This window comes from Homo sapiens, chromosome 19 (assembly GCF_000001405.40).
Source record: "Homo sapiens chromosome 19, GRCh38.p14 Primary Assembly".
Lineage (NCBI taxonomy): Eukaryota > Metazoa > Chordata > Mammalia > Primates > Hominidae > Homo > Homo sapiens.
In genome coordinates, this window is record NC_000019.10 from 36,895,647 (window position 1) to 36,913,805 (window position 18,159).

General features: G+C 39.3%; 1 protein-coding gene and 1 pseudogene across 4 annotated transcripts in view; one reads left to right on the forward strand and one right to left on the reverse strand.

The window, feature by feature from the left end:
* The window catches only part of ZNF829 (zinc finger protein 829), a 28,168-nt gene that overhangs the window by 7,523 nt on the left and 2,486 nt on the right, over nt 1-18,159 (reverse strand). For all 4 annotated transcript variants that reach the window (XM_011526933.3, NM_001037232.4, XM_005258876.4 and 1 more), the window contains exons 4-5: nt 12,687-12,813; nt 12,283-12,378 (exon numbers count right to left, since the gene is read on the reverse strand). In XM_011526933.3, the coding sequence (XP_011525235.1) occupies nt 12,283-12,378; nt 12,687-12,813 (223 nt within the window). The remainder of the gene's footprint in view (nt 1-12,282; nt 12,379-12,686; nt 12,814-18,159) is intronic.
* On the forward strand, nt 6,073-6,512 carry RPL31P61 (ribosomal protein L31 pseudogene 61; annotated as a pseudogene).

The window sequence follows — 18,159 nt, forward strand, 5'->3', positions numbered from 1 at the left end:
AAAGTGAAGAGATGAAAAAAAAATACTGCACACAAACAAACCAAAAGCAAGTGAGAGTAGCCATACTTAAATAAAACAGACATTAAGTAAAAAACTGCAAAAGAAGCAAAGAAGGTCATTATATAATGATAAATGGGTCAATTCAGCCAGAGGATATAAAGTTCTAAATTTATAGGCACTCAACACTGCAGCACCCAGATATATAAGCAAATATTATTAGATCTAAAAAGAGAGATAGGGCTGGGCATGGTGGCTCATGCCTGTAATCCCAACACTTTGGGAGGCCAAGGCGGGAGGATCACTTGAGGTCAGGAGTTCGAGACCAGCCTTCCCAACATGACGAAACCCTGTCTCTACTAAAAATACAAAAATTAGCTGGGTGTGGCCAGGCGCGGTGGCTCATGCCTGTAATCCCAGCACTTTGGGAGGCTGAGGCAGGCAGATCACGAGGTCAGGAGATTGAGACCATCCTGGCTAACATGGTGAAACCTCGTCTCTACTAAAAATACAAAAAATTAGCCAGGCATGGTGGCAGGCACCTGTAGTCCCACCTACTCGGGAGGCTGAGGCAGGAGAATGGTGTGAACCTGGGAGACGGAGCCTGAAGTGAGCCGGGTTCGCACCACTGCACTCCAGCTTGGGTGACAGAGCAAGACTGTCAAAAAAAAAAAAAGAAAGAAAAAAAAATTAGCTGGGCGTGGTGGCATGCACCTGTAATCCGAGCTACTCAGGAGGCTGAGGCAGGAGAATTGCTTGAACCTGGGAGGCAGAGGTTGCAGTGAGCCAATATTGTGCCACTGCACTCCAGCCTGGGCGACGGAACTAGACTCTGTCTCAAAAAAACAACAACAAAAAAAGGTAGACTCCCATAAAATAATAGTACGGGATTTGAACATCCCACTCTCAGCATTAGACAGTTCATCTAGATAGAAAATCAACAGCTTTGGATTTAAACTGGATATTAGACCAAATGGACCTACCAGACACTAACTGAACATTTTATCCAACAGCTGCAGAATACACATTGTTCCTATCAGCACATGGAACATCCTCCAGGAAGAGACCATACGTTAGGCCATAAGACAAGTTATAACTAATTTTTAAAAATTGAAATCATATCAAGTATCTTCTCAGACTACACTAGAATAAAACTAGAAATCAATAACAAAAACTTTGTAAACCACACAAATAAATGGAAATTTAAACAATGTGCTTGCTCATGAATGCCCATTGGGTCAATTAAGAAATTAAAGATCATCAAAGACTACTACAGGCAACTATATGCTAACAAATCAGATAACCTAGAGGAAACAGAAAAATTCCTGGATACATGAAAACCTACCAAGACTGAACCAGGAAGAAACAGAGCAGAAGAACCTGAGCAGACCAATAACGAGTAATGAGATTGAAGCAATAGTAAAATGTCTCCCAACAAAAAAAGCCCAAGACTAAAGGGCTTTACTGCTGAATCCTACCAAAATTACAAATAACTAACCTCAGTTTTTCTCAAACTATTCCAAAAAATGGAAGAGAAGTTAATTCTTCCTAATCCATTCTACAAGGCCAGCATTACCCTGATACCAAAACCAGAGAAGGACACAACAACAACAACAAAAAGAGGTGATATCCCTCATGAACATAGACACAAAACCCCTCAATGAAATACTAGCAAATGAAATCCAATAATACAACAACAAGATAATATACAACGATTAAGTGAGATTTTTCCTGAAAAGTGCAAGGATGGCTCAACATAAGCAAATCAATAAACATGATGTATCAGATCAACAGGATGAGGGATAAAAACCATATGATCAGCTCAATAGATGCAGAGAAACATCTGATAAACTTCAACGTCTCTTCATTATAAAAACCTCTCAACGATTAGGCATTAAAAAACATAACATAATAAAGACCATATATGACAAACGTACAGCTAACACCATACTGAATGGGGAAAAGCCGAAAGCTTTTCCTCTAAGAACTGGAACAAGATAAAGAAGCCCACATTCACCACTATTATTCAATATAGTACTGGAAGTCCTATCCAGAGCAATCAGGCAAGAGAAAGAAATAAAAGGCATCCAGATTGGATAATAGAAAGTCACACTGTCCCTTTACAGATGACATGATCTTACATATATTTAAAAACCTAAAGATGCCACCAGAAATTCTTGGAACTGATCAATGAAATCAGTAAAGTTGCAAGATACAAAATCAATATACAAAAATAAGTAGTACGCTGGGCACGGTGGCTCACGCCTATAATCCCAGCAGTTTGGAAGGCCGAGGTGGGTGGATCACTTGAGGTCACGAGTTTGAGACCAGCCTGGCCAACATGGTGAAACCTTGTCTTGACTAAAAATACAAAAATTGGCCAGGTGTGGTGGCAGGCACCTGTGGTCCCACCTACGTGGGAGGCTGAGGCAGAACTGCTTGAACCCAGGAGGTGGAAGCTGCAGAGAGCTGAGATCATGCCATTGCACTCCTCCAGCCTGGGAGACAGAGCAAAACTCTGTCTCAAAAAGGGAAAAAAAAAGGATTTCTATACATCCACAATAATGAATTAGCTGAAAAAGAAATCAAGAAAACAATCCCATTTATTAATATAATAGCTACAAAAAACAACCTAGAAATAAATTTAACCATGAAGTGAAAGACCTCTGTAAGGAAAACTACAAAACACAGACAAAAGAAATTGAAGACAACAAACAAATAAAAAGATATTTGCATGCTTATGCACTGGAAGAACTATTGTTAAAATGAACATACTTCCCAAAGCAATCTACAGATTCAATGCAATCTACAGATTCAATGCAATCCCGACTGAAATGCCAGTCAGTTTTTACATGAACAGGAAAAAAAATCCTAAAATTTGTAGGAAACCATAAAAAATGCCAAATAGCCAATGCAATCTGTAGCGAAAGAACAAAAGTGGAAGAATCAAACTTCAAAATATACTACAAAGCTGTCGTAACCAAAACAGCATGGTACTGTCATAAAAATAGACCCAAAGACCAATGGAACAGAAGAGAGAACCCACAAATAAATCCATGTATTTATAGTCAACTGATGGTTGACAAAGGTGCCAAGAACAGACATAGGGAAAAGGACACGCTGTTCAATAAATGGTGCTGGGAAAACTGGTTATCCATATAGTGAAGAATGAAACTAGACTGTATCTCTCACCATATACAAAAATAAACTCAAAATGAATTAAATACTTAACTATAAGACCCCAAATTATAAAACTACTGCAGGAAAACATAGGGGAAACACTTCAGAAGAATAGGCAAATATATTTTAGATAAGACCTCAAAGATATTTTCAATAAGGGGCAACAACAAAAAAATAGACAAATTGGACTATATTGAACTAAAATGCTTCTGCACAGCAAAGGAAACAATCAGCAGAGTGAAGAGACCTGTAGAATGGGAGAAAATATTTGCAAACTCTTCACCTGAGAAGGGACTAATATCCAGAATTAACAAGGAAGCAAAAAAACTTAATAGCAGTGCCATAGCGGCTCATAACTGTAATCCCAGCACATTGGGAGGCCAAGTCAGGAGGATCACTTGAGGCCAGGAGTTCAAGACCAGCCTGGGGAACATAGGGAGACCCCCCCCGATCTCTATAAACAGTTTTAAAATTAGCTAGGTATAGTGGCATGCACCTGCAGTCTTAGCTACTTAGGAGGCTGAGGTGGTAGAATCACTTGAGCCTGGGAGTTCAAGGATGCGGTGAGCTGTGATCAGGCCACTGCACTCCAGTCTGGCTGACAGTGAAACTCTCTCACATACACAAAAAATGACACTGGGTACATTCTATTAGTAAAAGAAAAAAAAATACATATATATATATGTATGTATAAAACAATTGATAAATATTCAAAGTGATGGGTATCTAAATACCTTGATTTGATCCTTATACGTTGTATGAATGTATCAATATATTGCTTGTGCTCCATAAATATGTATAATTTGTATCGATAAAAACTAAAAAAAAAGCTCATGAGAAATCTAATGTATAGCAGGAGGACTATAGTTAGTAATACTCTATTGTATACTAGAAATTTGTCAGGAAAGTAGGTTTTAAGTACTCTTACCCTAAACAAAAAAAAAAAGAAAGAAGAAAAGATTATAGTTATTTGATAGGATCTGCTTAACTATAGTAATTATTTCAATATGTATGTGTATCAAAACATCATGTTGTACACCTAGAATTTATACAATAATTTTTAAAAAAAGGTTCATATAAAAATTTTTTTTTAAACACATATAAAAATAGAAAGAATGAGTAACACTTAGTATTTGCTAGCAAAACAGGGTGACTGTAGTCAAAAATAATTTAATTGAACATTTAAAAATAACTAAAAGAGGCTGGGCATGGTGGCTCATGTCTGTAATCCCAGCACTTTGGGAGGCCAAGGTGGGTGGATCACTTGAGGTCCGGAGTTCAAGACCAGCCTGGCCAACATGGTAAAACTCTGTCTCTACTAAACACACACACACACACACACACACACACACACACACACACACACACACACACAAATTTGCTGGGCGTGGTGGTATGTGCCTGTAGTCCAAACTACTTGGGAGGCTGAGGCATGAGAATCACTTGAACCTGGGAGGCAGAAGTTGCAGTGAGCAGAGATCACAGCACTGCAGCACTGCACTTCAGCCTGGGTGACAGAGTGAGACTCTGTCTTAAAAAAAAAAAAAAAAATTCCCCTAAAAACTAAGAGTACAATAAGATTGTAACACAAAGGATAAATGCTTCAGGTGATAGATATCCCATTTCTCCTGATATAAGCATTGCCTGCCTGTATCAAAATCTCATGTAACCCATAAATATACATACCTACTATGTACCCAAAAAATTAAAAATAAAGATTAATAAATAAATAAAAACAACCAGGCCAAGTGTGGTGGCTCACTCCTGTAATCCCAGCACTTTGGAGGGCTGAGGCAGGTGGATCACTTGAAATCAGGAGTTCAAGACCAGCCTGGCCAACATGTTGAAACCTCATCTCTACTAAAAATACAAAAATTAGCTGGGTGTGGTGGCATGAGCATGTAATCCCAGCTACGCAGGAGGCTGAGGCAAGGGAATTGCTTGAACCCAGGAGGTGGAGGTTGCAGTAAGCCAAGATTGTGCCATTGCACTCCAGACTGGGCAACAGAGCGAGACTGTCTCAGAAAAAAAAAAAAAAAAAAAAGATAACAAGTGTTAGCAAATGATGTGGAGAAACTGGAACCATCATACACTGCTGGTGGGCATGTAAAATGGTGCAGCCAATTTGGAAAAGAGTCTAGCAGTTCCTCAACTGGCTAAACACAGAGTTATGATATGACCCAGCAATTCTACTCCTAGGTAGAAACCTGAAAGAACTGAAAGCTTATGTCCACACAAAAACTTATAGACATGTTCATACAACATTAATCAAAATAGCCCAAAAGAGGAAACCCAAATGTCCATCAACTGATCAATGGATAAATGTGCTATATCCATAAAATGGAATAGTATTTGGCAATAAAAAGGAATGAAATGCTGATACATGCTACAACACGGATGAACCCTGAAAAGCATTAAGTTATGAAATAGGGAATTTGCAGAAGACCACATATTGTACAATTCCATTTATATGAAATGTCCAGAATAGGCAAATCCATAGAGAAAATCAACTCATGGTTGCCTGGGGCTGGAGGGGGTGGGAATAACAGCTAGAGTGTACAGGGATTTTTCTGAGGTGATAAAAATGTTCTAAAATTGATTATGGTGATGGTTATACAACTCTATTACATTAAAAATCACTGAATTGTACATTTTATGTGGGTGAACTATATGGTATGTGAATTATACCTTAATAAAGCTGAAAATAAAACAACAAAATTAAAGGAGTGCTACTCTGGTTCATAGCGAGCAGGGGTTGGGCAACTTTTTAAATAAAGAATAAGATAGCAAATATTTTCAGCTTTGTGGGCTATCCAAGTGTGTGATTGTAGTGCAAAGACAGTCACAGAAAACTTCTAGTAGTTTGAATGTGCTAGCCTTAAAAAATAAACAAGTCTTTCCAACTTGGATCCGGCAGAATGGCTCCCACAAAGAAGGGTGGTGAGAAGAAAAAGGGCCGTTCTGCCATCCACAAGGTGGTGACCTGAGAATACACCATCAGTATGCACAAGCGCATCCATGGAGTGGGCTTCAAGAAGCGTGCCCCTCGGACACTCAAAGAGATTCAGAAATTTGCCATGAAGGAGATGGGAACTCCAGATGTGCGCACTGATACCAGGCTCAACAAAGCTGTCTGGGCCAAAGGAATAAGGAATGTCCCATAACGAATCCATGTGCGGTTGTCCAGAATACGTAATGGGGATGAAGATTCACCAAATAAACTCTATACTTTGGTTATCTATGTATCTGTTACCACTTTCAAAAATCTACAGACAGTCAATGTGGATGAGAACTAATCACTGATTGTCAAATACATCAAATAGTTATAAAATTGCAAAAAAAAAAGAAAAAAAAAAACAAGTACCCCCCCGCACCCCGCAAAAATAACCCCACAACCTCACAAGAACTGCTAGCTCAAAAACAGAAATTTTTAAAAAGACTGGCTTAATAATTCTGGTTTAAAAATAGCTATACATCTTCCTCCTGATTTTATCAGTGCAAAATGTAAATTTTAAGATTATAAAAACTAGGCCGGGTGCTGTGGCTCACGCCTGTAATCCCAGCACTTTGGGAGGCAAAGGCAGGCGGATTACTTTAGCTTAGGAGTTCGAGACCAGCCTGGGTAACATGGCAAAATCCCATCTCTACAAAAAATACAAAAATTAGCCGGTCATGGTGCCGTGCACCTGTAGTCCCAGCTACTAGGGAGACTGAGGTGGGAGGGTCACTTAAGCCTGGGAGAGGCGGGTGTGGTGGAGGTTGTAGTGAGCCAAGATGCACCACTGCACTCCAGCCTGGGCAACAGAGCCAGACTCTGTCTCAAAATAAAATAAAATAAAATAAAATAAAATAATAAAAACTATACAATTATGTGTTAAACCAAATCAAATTATAGTTCTGTCAGACTTTTTGACATCCAAGTAACTGTTGGGCCGGGTGCAGTGGCTCACGCCTATAATCCCAGCACTTTGGGAGGCCAAGGCGGGTGGATTACTTGAGGTGAGGAGTTAGAGACCAACCTGGGCAACATGGTGAAACCCCGTCTCTACTAAAAATACAAAAATTAGCTGGACATGGTGGCGCACGCCTGTAATCCCAGCTACTTGGGAAGCTGAGGCAGGAGAATCGCTTGAACCCGGGAGGCGGAGGTTGTAGTGAGCCGAGATCACGCCATTGCACTCCAGCCTGGGCGACAGAGCGAATCTCCATCTCAAAAATAAAAAAGAAGAAGAAGAAAAAAAGTAACTGTGTTGCTCTGTAGTGTGTCAGTTTAAATACAGTAGTCAAGATTTTTAGTCAACTTCAAGAAAATGGACATTAAGTAAGAAAAATTAATAGATAATCCTCGAAAACCTGGATGATTTCTAACATAAGGTATTAAAACATTGATTTCTAAGAATAGTTTTAACAAATATGCCATTATTATTTAATATGTATGCCTTGTTTTTTATGTTAGAGGATGGCTATACCTTTGGGTAATATAAATAAATACATGTGGTTTTGTTTTGTTTTGTTTTTGGGTCAAGGGTAATTTTAGTTATAGTATGTGCAGGGCACAAATGTGCAAAAGGGCATTTCTGTCCTTTTTATAAAGGCTTATAAGGAATGTGGGTGGCTATTGGGGGAGTGGTATCACATGTCAGGAGTCTGTTAAAATGTTTATATATCACAGTTCTCAATTACCTACCTCCCACATCTTTCTTTATAATTTGAGTAGTTGAGACTATCTGGGAATAATCATAACAGAAATGTAATAGATATGCTTTTGTTATCAAGGAAATTATAGGTTGGGCACGGCGGCTCAGACCTGTAATCCCAGCACTTTGGGAGGCCAAGGTGGGTGGAACACCTGAAGTCAGGAATTCGAGACCATCCTGGCCAACATGGGGAAACCTCGTCTCTACTAAAAATAAAAAAATTAGCCGGGCATGGTGGCAGGTGCCTCTAATCCCAGCTACTCGGGAGGCTGAAGCAGAGGTTGCAGTGAGCTGAGGTTGCACCACTGCACTCCAGCCTGGGCAACAAGAGTAAAACTGTCTCGAAAAAAAAAATAACAATAGTTTTGTCTTAAAAAAACCAATTGTTCCAAAATGTAAAACTGATACATAAAAAAGACATCTCAGTTTTGATGGGTTTATTTTCAATCCAGTATTTGAACTTGGGAAGAATATGTAAAAACACTCCTAAGTGACTATTATTAAGCAAAGATATGAAAATAGAAAGTACAAACTACAATACAAATAAACATAAGGCATAACACCAATGGGGATGCACATTAAGTAGGTAACAGGAAAGTTATAACAACATTTGTGTAATCAGGATATAAACTATGAATATATTGCTATAGGCAAGATACATACAGTGATTACGAGAGACCAGCCCTCAACTATCAGAAAAAGACATCAAGAAATACTTTTATAGTTTGATGTATCACAGAAAGACAAAACATACTATGCAAAATTTGAAGGTAGGTATCAGAAGAATGAAAGTAAGAGTTGAAAATGTATTATCTTTGATGAGAGGGACTGGGGCAGTCATGGTAGGAATGTATATGTGAAAAAGCAGGCTGCTGTTTTTCTTTTTTCTCTTTTTTTGAGATGGAGTCTTGCTCTGTTGCCCAGGCTGGAGTGCAGTTGCATGATCTCAGCTCACTGCAACTTCCACCTCCTGGGTTCAAGCGATTCTCCTGCCTTGGCCTCCCAAGTAGCTGGGACTACGGGCGCCTGCCACTATGCCCGGTTAATTTTTGTATTTTTAGTAGAGACGGGGTTTTGCCATGTTGGCCAGGCTGGTTTCGAACTCCTGACCTCAAGTGATCTGCCCGCCTCGGCCTCCCAGGTGCTGGGTTTACAGGTGTGAGCCACCGCGCCTGGTCTGGGCTGCTGTTTTTCAATATAAGCTTTATAACACTGTGATTTCAAACTCTGTAAATATATTACTTTAATGAAAATTAATTATTTTAAAATGAAAAAGGAATAAACAGAGACCACCTTTCAAGTACAAAGGTACAAGGTTAAGGTAAGATTAAGAAGGGGGTGAATTAGCAAGTTGGTAGGGAGGAAAAGTGGTAGGAGAGACAGAAATAAAAATACTTGAAGGCAGCTAAGATCAACTGATAGCTGGGAAAAAGTGAAGATTCACAAACTCCTCCCTAGGTTCCTAGAGCTTTGTTAAATCTAGAATTCTTTCTCAAGGGACACATGGATCTTCTATTTCCAACGCTAACTCCATAGGTAACAACATCTACTTCTAGGGCTCCAACCATTAACTTCTACTTGGATCAATTTCCACTTCCATATTTTTTGACTGTTTTACAACTTTCTTCTGAGCGTCCTATTTGATCTTCTCATTGATGAATCTTATCCTGTAGAAATTATTTACAGCAATGTTCTAGCTCCTACATTAGATAACAAGTTTCTTAATAAGCCTACACATTTTCTAAACTGTACAGCACCTAGCAGACTAGTGTATAAAATTAAAAAGTCAAACATTTTTATAAGACTTGCTATTTAAAAATCTTAATTCTCCACAAACTGATATTAATATTCTCATGAAAAAATAACTTGGCATTTTGATTAAGTTTCAAATGACTATATAAGCTAATTCTAAATTTTTTTTTTTTTTCTTTTGTGAGACCAAGTTTTGCTCTTGTCCCCCAGGCTGGAGTGCAATGGTGTGATCTCGGCTCACTGCAACCTCCGCCTCCCTGGTTCAAGCGATTCTCCTGCCTCAGCCTCCTGAGTAGCTGGGATTACAGGTGCCCGCCACCACACCTGGCTAATTTTTGTATTTTTAGTAAAGATGGGGTTTCACCATGTTGCCCAGGCTGGTCTTGAACTCCTGACCCCAGGTGATCCACCCACCTCGGCCTCCCAAAGTGCTGGGATTACAGGCGTGAGCCACTGCGCCCGGCCTAATACTAAAATTTACAATGAAAATGCAAAGGACTAAGCAGCAGCAGGAGAACTTGCTCTACTAGATAAGATTTATTACATGCTACAGTATTAATATAGTGTGGTATTGGCACAAGGATAGACAAATAAGCCAAAGGAACAGAATTCAGAGATAGACTCACAGAAATAGGAATACCTGATTTATGACAAAGGTAGTCCTATTTCTATTGGGGAAAAGATAGATATAGTCCTATCTCTATAGAATGGGAAAAGGACAGTCATCTCAATAAACACTAAGAAGTCAACTGGATATTCACATGGAAAAAAAATGAAATTTGACCCCTACCTCACAACACATACAAATACCAACTTCAGGAAAGTAGATCTAAATGGAAAAAGTAAAACAATAAAGCTACTAGAATATAACATAGGAAATATCTTCAAGACCTTGGGGTAGGCAATGATTCCTATCCAGGACACAAAAAAGCAACACTATAAAGAAAAAGATAACTGTGACCACATTAAAATTAATAACTTCTGTTCATCAAAAGGTACTATTAAAAGAGTAAAGGGCAAGGTATAAAGTGGTGGGAGATATTTACATCATGTATAACCAAACACAGGGCTGATACATAGAATATAATAAGAATTCTTTGAAACCAACAGGAAAAAGATAGACAACCGACTAAGTTTAGCCAAGAAACTTAAACAGGCATGTCACAGAACACACACATCAGAATAACTAAAATTAAAGGGCCTGGCAATAATAACTGGTAAGAATGTAAGAATGCAGAGCAATAGTAACCTTCATACTGCTAGTAGAACTGCAAATTGGTATAACTACTTTGGAAAATTGGTATATTTACTAAAGTTGAACACACACATATCCTATTGCTCAGTAATTCCACTCCTATGTATATACCTAAAAGAAATGTGTACATACATTTACCAAAAGTTATACACAGGAACGTTCACAGCAGCATTATGTTTAATAGCTAAAAACTGCAAACAAACCAACTGTCAACAGAAGGACACTTATAGTAATTAATAATATATAAAGCATAATTTAAAAAATATTCATAGAATGAAGCAGGACACAGTGGGTTACGCCTGTAATCCCAGCACTTTGGGAGGCTGAGGCGGGTGGATCACCTGAAGTCAGCAGTTTGAAACCAGCCTGGCCAACATGTTGAAACCCTGTCTCTACTAAAAATACAAAAAATTAGCTGGGCGTGGTGGCGCAGGCCTGTAGTTCCAGCTACTCGGGAGGCTGAGACAGGAGAATCGCTTGAACCCAGGAGGCAGAGGTTGCAGTGAGCTGAGATCACACCACTGCACTCCAGCCTGGGCAACAGAGCAAGACTCCATCTCAAAAAAAAAAAAAAAAAAAAAAAATGTATATATATATATATATGTATATATTCATAGAATGAAATATAACATAGCCAATAAGAATGAACTAACACCAGATATATGCAGCACCATAGATATGTCACATAAACATAATGTTGAGCAAAAAAAGCCAAAGGCAAAAGACTAAATACTGTGTGATTGCGTCTATACAAAGTTCAAAAATAGGCAAAACGAATCCATGGTGCCAAATGTCAGGATGGTATTTATTTTGAGAGAGGAAAAAGAGGCTGGTGATTGGGAAGGGGCAGAGAAGGGGTTCTGAGGTGCTAGTAATGTTCTATTTATCGTCCTAGTAGTGGTTTCACCATTCTCAATTTCACCATACTATGCAATCATAGTCATGCAGTTTTATGTGTGTATGTTATACTTCAATTTTGTTTTCAAGTAAGAAATAATCAAATGTTTGATAAATGAAAGAATGAGCTTTTAAATCCAGAACAAACTGGTCAAAGATGTTAAATAGCTGAAAGTAGATAAAATGAAAACAAGCACAGGGAAAGAAAAAGACACACATGCACTTACATCTATTTCTCAGGGTGGGAATGTCTACTGTTATACAAATCTAAACGTAGCGTATCATAGGAAGGAATGAAACTAAAATGTGACTAGAATAATTATAGCATAATTGTAGCCAGGGAGGTACTTGCTATATTGGACTAGGGAAAAAGTATGAGAAAAAAAAAAAAAGTGGGATAGCTTATATGGAAGAGGCTTCAGGCCTTTAAAGGGAGCTTCCTGATAACATCTCAGAAGTATATCTCTTTATAGCCCTGCTCCTGAGCCATCATCTCTTACTTACCTGAACACAGGCCTCTAGTCAGCTCTCTATCAACCATCCAGGGCTCTTTTCCTTGTTCCAATAAGGAGATCACAGCTGGCTTAGAATTGGAAAGTCCTGTTCACAAGAAAAGACATGGGACATGGTTATGCTGTGGGGTCCCCAGAAATCAGATCCAGTCCCTTAGTGATCAAAGGAGAGATGCCACTACAAGAAGGACCGGAGAAAGATGGAGAAGATGAAGCTTCAGCCACAGCCCATTGGAGCTGCCCACTTCCAACTCTTCCATTCTATTTTAACTCAAACCATTCCTTAGGGAACAGGGAGCAGAAATTCAGCTGGTTACATGAAGCAAATAATTCACAATGGAGAAAGGAGACACTTCCAAGGGCACACTCTGAATTTTGGGGAATAGTTATCCTTACCCACTGAAACCAGGTTGCTGAAATTCTCCAACATCACTTCTTTGTATAAATTCATCTGATCAGCGTCCAGGCATTCCCATTCCTCTTGAGAGAAGTCTATGGAAACATCCCTGAACATCACCGGCCCCTGAAACAACAAACATGCTTTCACAATGAAAGGAGAAAAGAAAAAGATGGCGGTAGAGGTGGCAAGAAAGGACAGAGTAAGCAAAATTAAAGGGGGTGAATCCTATCATATCAGAAGATATACGTCCTGTGTACAAAGGGATATACAAATAGACTGGACTTTTCCAGTGATATGAAATAGCATGCATTCAGCTCAATTAGTGAGTTTCTTCCCCCTCCCCGCTTTCCCTTTATGCCCCAAGAGAGGGGAAAATGGGAGGGGCTTTCAAACACACCTTATAATACATGGAGTAAAAATTCAGAATATCAGGGGAAAACAAAAATGAAAGTTTCTAAAAGCTTCCAGAAGAAAACACAGATCACATAAGTTTTCAGAAATCAGAATGGCAATAGACTTCTCAATAGCATCATTTGAAATAAGAAAAAACCAAGCAATTCCTTTAATATTATAAAGGAAAATAAATTCTGACCTAGAATTCTATAGCCAGTCAGATTACTAAGCCACTATGAAGATTAAATCAAGACAATTTTAAATCTGCAGGGAATGATAAAAGTACTTCCAATGTGGCTTTTCTTAGGAAGCTACTAGGCTACATGTTCCATCAAAACTAGGTAGTAAATTAGGAAAAAGAAAAGGTACTATATTAAGAAACTGTAAAACTAACATGAAAATGGTGATGAAAGTGCCAGTATAATTATAAAAGGCAAATCCTAGAACATCATCCGGCAGCAGACTGAGAGAACAGCATCTAGGAACAGAAGAAGTGAGGACTATAGGAAAGACATCTCCAAAGAAAACTAAGGAGCTAGTATGTTTCATCATGTAGAAAATATTGACAGGCAACTGACAGCAATGTTAGAGAATTTGAAAAAAATAGTGACACATACATAAAACCGGGCAAAAGAAGAAACAAGGCAATTTCCTCTGAGAAAAATACAAATTGTATTAGAAAGAATCCAGAATCTGGTGTTTTACTTGGCTCACATTGTCTGCAAGGTCCTAATGTCTGCAACAATGTCTGCAAGGTCCTAATCACAGGGATAGCAATGATTGAAAGAAAAATTATGAGCCGAGCATGGTGGCTCATGCCTGTAATCCCAGCACTTTGGGAGGCCGAGGCAGGAGGATCACCAGGTCAGGAGTTCGAGACCAGCCTGGCCAACATGATGAAACCCCGTGTCTACTTAAAATACAAAAATTAGCTGGGCGTGGTGGTGCACGCCTGTAATCCTAGCTACTCGGGAGGCTGAGGTAGGAGAATCACTTGAACCTGGGAGGCGGAGGTTGCAGTGAGCCAAGATTGCGCCACTGCACTCCAGCCTGGGCAACAGAGTGAGACTCTGTCTCAAAAAAAAAAAAAAGAAAGAAAGAAAAGAAAAATTGTGATATAATTCTATTGCATGGACAAAAAATGAAGACTGTGGTATGGGAAATCTCAATCCATAGTTACCTGCCTAGAAATCACTGGAAAATATGTATCAAAAAATAGCAATATAGGAATATTAATTAGAAATATAGGAAAAATGCTAAGAGAAACAGCAAAAAGAGTAGCCACCTAAGGGGAGTAGGATTGGGTTAGTGGGACAATGCCCTGCCATTTTTCATGTCTTTTAACATTTCTTGAAAAATTTTTTTTTTTTTTGAGACGGAGTTTCGCTCTTGTTGCCCAGGTTGGAGTGCAGTGGCACAATCTCGGCTCACTGCAACCTCCACCTCCCGGGTTCAAGCGATTCTCCTCCTTCAGCCTCCCGAGTAGCTGGGATTACAGGCGCCGGTCACCACACCCAGCTAATTTTTGTATTTTTAGTAGAGACAGGGTTTCACCATGCTGGTCAGGCTGGTCTCAAACTCCTGACCTCAAGTGATCCACCTGCCTCAGCCTCCCAAAGTGCTGGGATGACAGGCGTGAGCCACCACGCCTGGCCCATTTCTTGAATTTTTAAAATGCGAAATGGGTTAAACATAAATTTAAAGTATCACTTAGACAACAGCATACTTTAAGTTTCTTGGAAATTACAATTCTTATAAGACTGTCATAATTATTCCCTATTAACATAAACAAATTCAACTTTTATACCCTTATGGTAGCAGAAATTTCCACAATATAAATACTACTGAATGAATCTTTCATTTCAGACATTTTCTTAGGCAAAAATACTTTTAAGACCTTTTCCAGATATGCAGGCCCTTCCCCATACCTTGCCCTATGCATCTCTTCCATTTTGCTGTTCCTTAGTTGTATCCTTTGTAATAAAACTATAATCAGGCCGGGTGCGGTAGCTCATGCCTGTAATTCCAGCACTTTGGGAAGCCAAGGGGGGTGGATCACCTGAGGTCAGGAGTTTGTGACCAGCCTAGCCAACATGGAGAAACCCCATCTTTACTAAAAATACAAAAAATAGCCAGGTGTCGTGGCGCATGCCTGTAATCCCAGCTACTCAGAAGGCCAAGGCAGGAGAATTGCTTGAACCCGGGAGGCGGAGGTTGCAGTGAGCCGAGATTGTGCCGTTGCACTCCAGCCTGGACAACAGAGTGAAACGCCATCTCAAAACCAACAAACAAAGAAACCAACAAAAAAGTAAAACTATCATCATAAGTATAGTGCTTTCCTGAGTTCTATATGTTATTCTAATGAATTATTGAACCTGAAGGAGAGTTACGGGAACCTCTAAATTTTTGGCTGGCTAGGCAGAAGTGCAGTGCCTTAGACTTGTGGCTGGTGTCTGAAGCAGGTACAGTCTTGTGGGACTGAGTCTTTTTTTTTTTTCTTTGAGACTGAGTCTACTCCATCACCCAGGCTGGAGTGCAGTGGTGCGATCTCAGCTCCCTGCAACCTCTGCCTCCCAGGTTTAAGCAATGCTTCTGCCTCAGCCTCCTGAGTAGCTGGGACCACAGGCACACACCACCACATCCAGCTAATTTTTGTATTTTTAGTAGAGATGTGGGTTCACCATGTTGTCCAGGCTGTTCTCAAACTCCTGACCTCAAGTGATCCTCCCATCTCGGCCTCCCAAAGTCCTGGGATTATAGGCATGACCAGCTGGGACTGAGCCTCTTAAGCAATGGGGTCTATGTTAACTCTGGGTAGTGTCAGAATTCAGTTAAACTATAGGACACTCAGTTAGTGTCCCAAAAATTTTGTTTATAAAAGGACACACATTCCCAATTGATAGGAGAAATGAGGGTACTTCTCCCTCACCTTAGGACAAGCAAGGGGGCCCCTTTAGACTCCAGGGTCCAAAGTGGAATGATGAGATACTTTGGAATAATTTTTGCTGTATTCTCTGGAGCTTAGGGGGCACAAAGATTAGTACCTATTTCCCTCTTTGGACTAGATGTGGACCCAATAAAGGGACAAAGTGACCTCAACAAAGGAATGGATCACAGAATGCAGAAGTGTATGACAGATGTCATAAGTAGCCATTTCAAGAAGACATGCTGTGCATATCCCAGGAAATGCAATTAGAGGTTTCCAGCAGGGGCTTCTCTGAGAGACTCTTAATAGTGTCTCCTAACAAAGGAGTGTTGAACATCCATCAAGGCAAAAGAGATCAACACCAAAACAAGTCAAGAAAGACTTTTCTTTTCCTTACCTCCTCTTCCCTACCCCTGCTCTAATCTCATAGGATCCAGAGACTGACTTAGGCAGGAGAAATAGAAGCTCAGGGCGAGGAAATCAAGAAGCTTAATTATGTCCCTTTTCATACTTTGCAAGCTTGAAGCAATTCTCAGCTCAGAGAAGAGGCTTTAAATGAAACTCACATATTATTACAGTGAACTAGAGGTTGTAATTAGTAAAATGAGACTAGATTTTGACTGAAAACAATCAAAGGACATCAAAGAGTGATAAAAATTATAGTCTATACCAGTTCTTATCCAGGGCAACAAAAAAATTAACCCACAGAGAGGGTTGAGAGTAGAAATTATGAGGAAAAAGTTTTTCTTTTGCTTGCTTCATATGGAATCCTGCTTATTTCAAAATGCTGATCACAAGCAGATTTGGTTTTTCAGTTACACAGTCACATCATCTATAAAGCGATAATCTTATGCCCTCTTTTGTAATTTTTAACCTAATTTTTTTTCTTATGTAAGTGTTTTGGTTAATATCTATAAAACAATGTTAAATAACATTGGTAATGTGGTATATCCTTGTTTTACTTCTAATTTTCAAATATTTTGATGTTTCAAATATTTCCTGATTAAACATTAGATTAAGTTCTGAAAACAAATTTTATTTCTTTTAAAATTTATTGTCCCCCGGGCACAGTGGCTCATGCCTGTAATCCCAGCACTTTGGGAGGCCGAGATGGGCAGATCACCTGAGGTTGGGAGTTCAAGACCAGCCTGACCAGCATGGAGAAACACCGTCTCTACTAAAAATACAAAAATTAGCCGGGCGTAGTGGCGCATGCCTGTAATCCCAGCTACTCGGGAGGCTGAGGCAGGAGAATCGCTTGAACCCAGGAGGTGGAGGTTGTGGTGAGCCGAGATCATGCCATTGTGCTCCAGCCTGGGAAACAAGAGTGAAACTCTGTCCCAAAAAAAATAAAAATTTATTGTCTACTACAGTATACTACATGTCCCTAGTTATTCCCGTTAATACTGGGCAACAATCTTCTCTATAGAAATGAGAAGTGTAACTAGAGACTGATGCAAGAGGGGAAGCAGATATTCTATTTGGGCTTTGGCACAGGAGAGGGAAGACTCAGTCCTCTTTAAAAGAAATTCAGATAGAAAGGCCTTACACAAAATACTTAGTTAGACTTATTCTTATCCTGATTTTCTCTGCATCTGTACCAAACACATACAATTTAAAAATTGAGAGTAGGCCCACTCAGAGTTCCAAATTTACACCTTGAGAAAACATTGTCACTATTCTGAGTCCTCTATCCTAGTATGTATCCTCTAATTTTCAGATAAAATGATTACCTGGTGAATGGATAACCTTACAATTTAGTGAGTTCCCCAAGATTAGAAGTGTTGAAACACAAACTGAATAAAGATATTTTTATTATTACTTGGAGGAAGAATCCAAAAACTCTGTAATTGCCTGCCATGCCCACTGCCCCCTCCTGAGATGAGGCAAGGTTCTTTTGTTTGCTTTGATTTCAGCTATAAGTATCAACTCTAAAAACCAAAAAGAGATAAGACACAGAAAAGAAGAAGAAATTCTAACATATGTTTAGTTAGAACCTGAGAAGGAAAGGGGGAGAGAATGATACGGGGGCTTTTTGAAGGTATAATGACTGAAGATTTTCCTGAACTAATAATAGATATCCATCCATAAATTTTAAAACTCTACAAATCCCAAGCAGACAAATAAAACACATTTATATATCTTACACT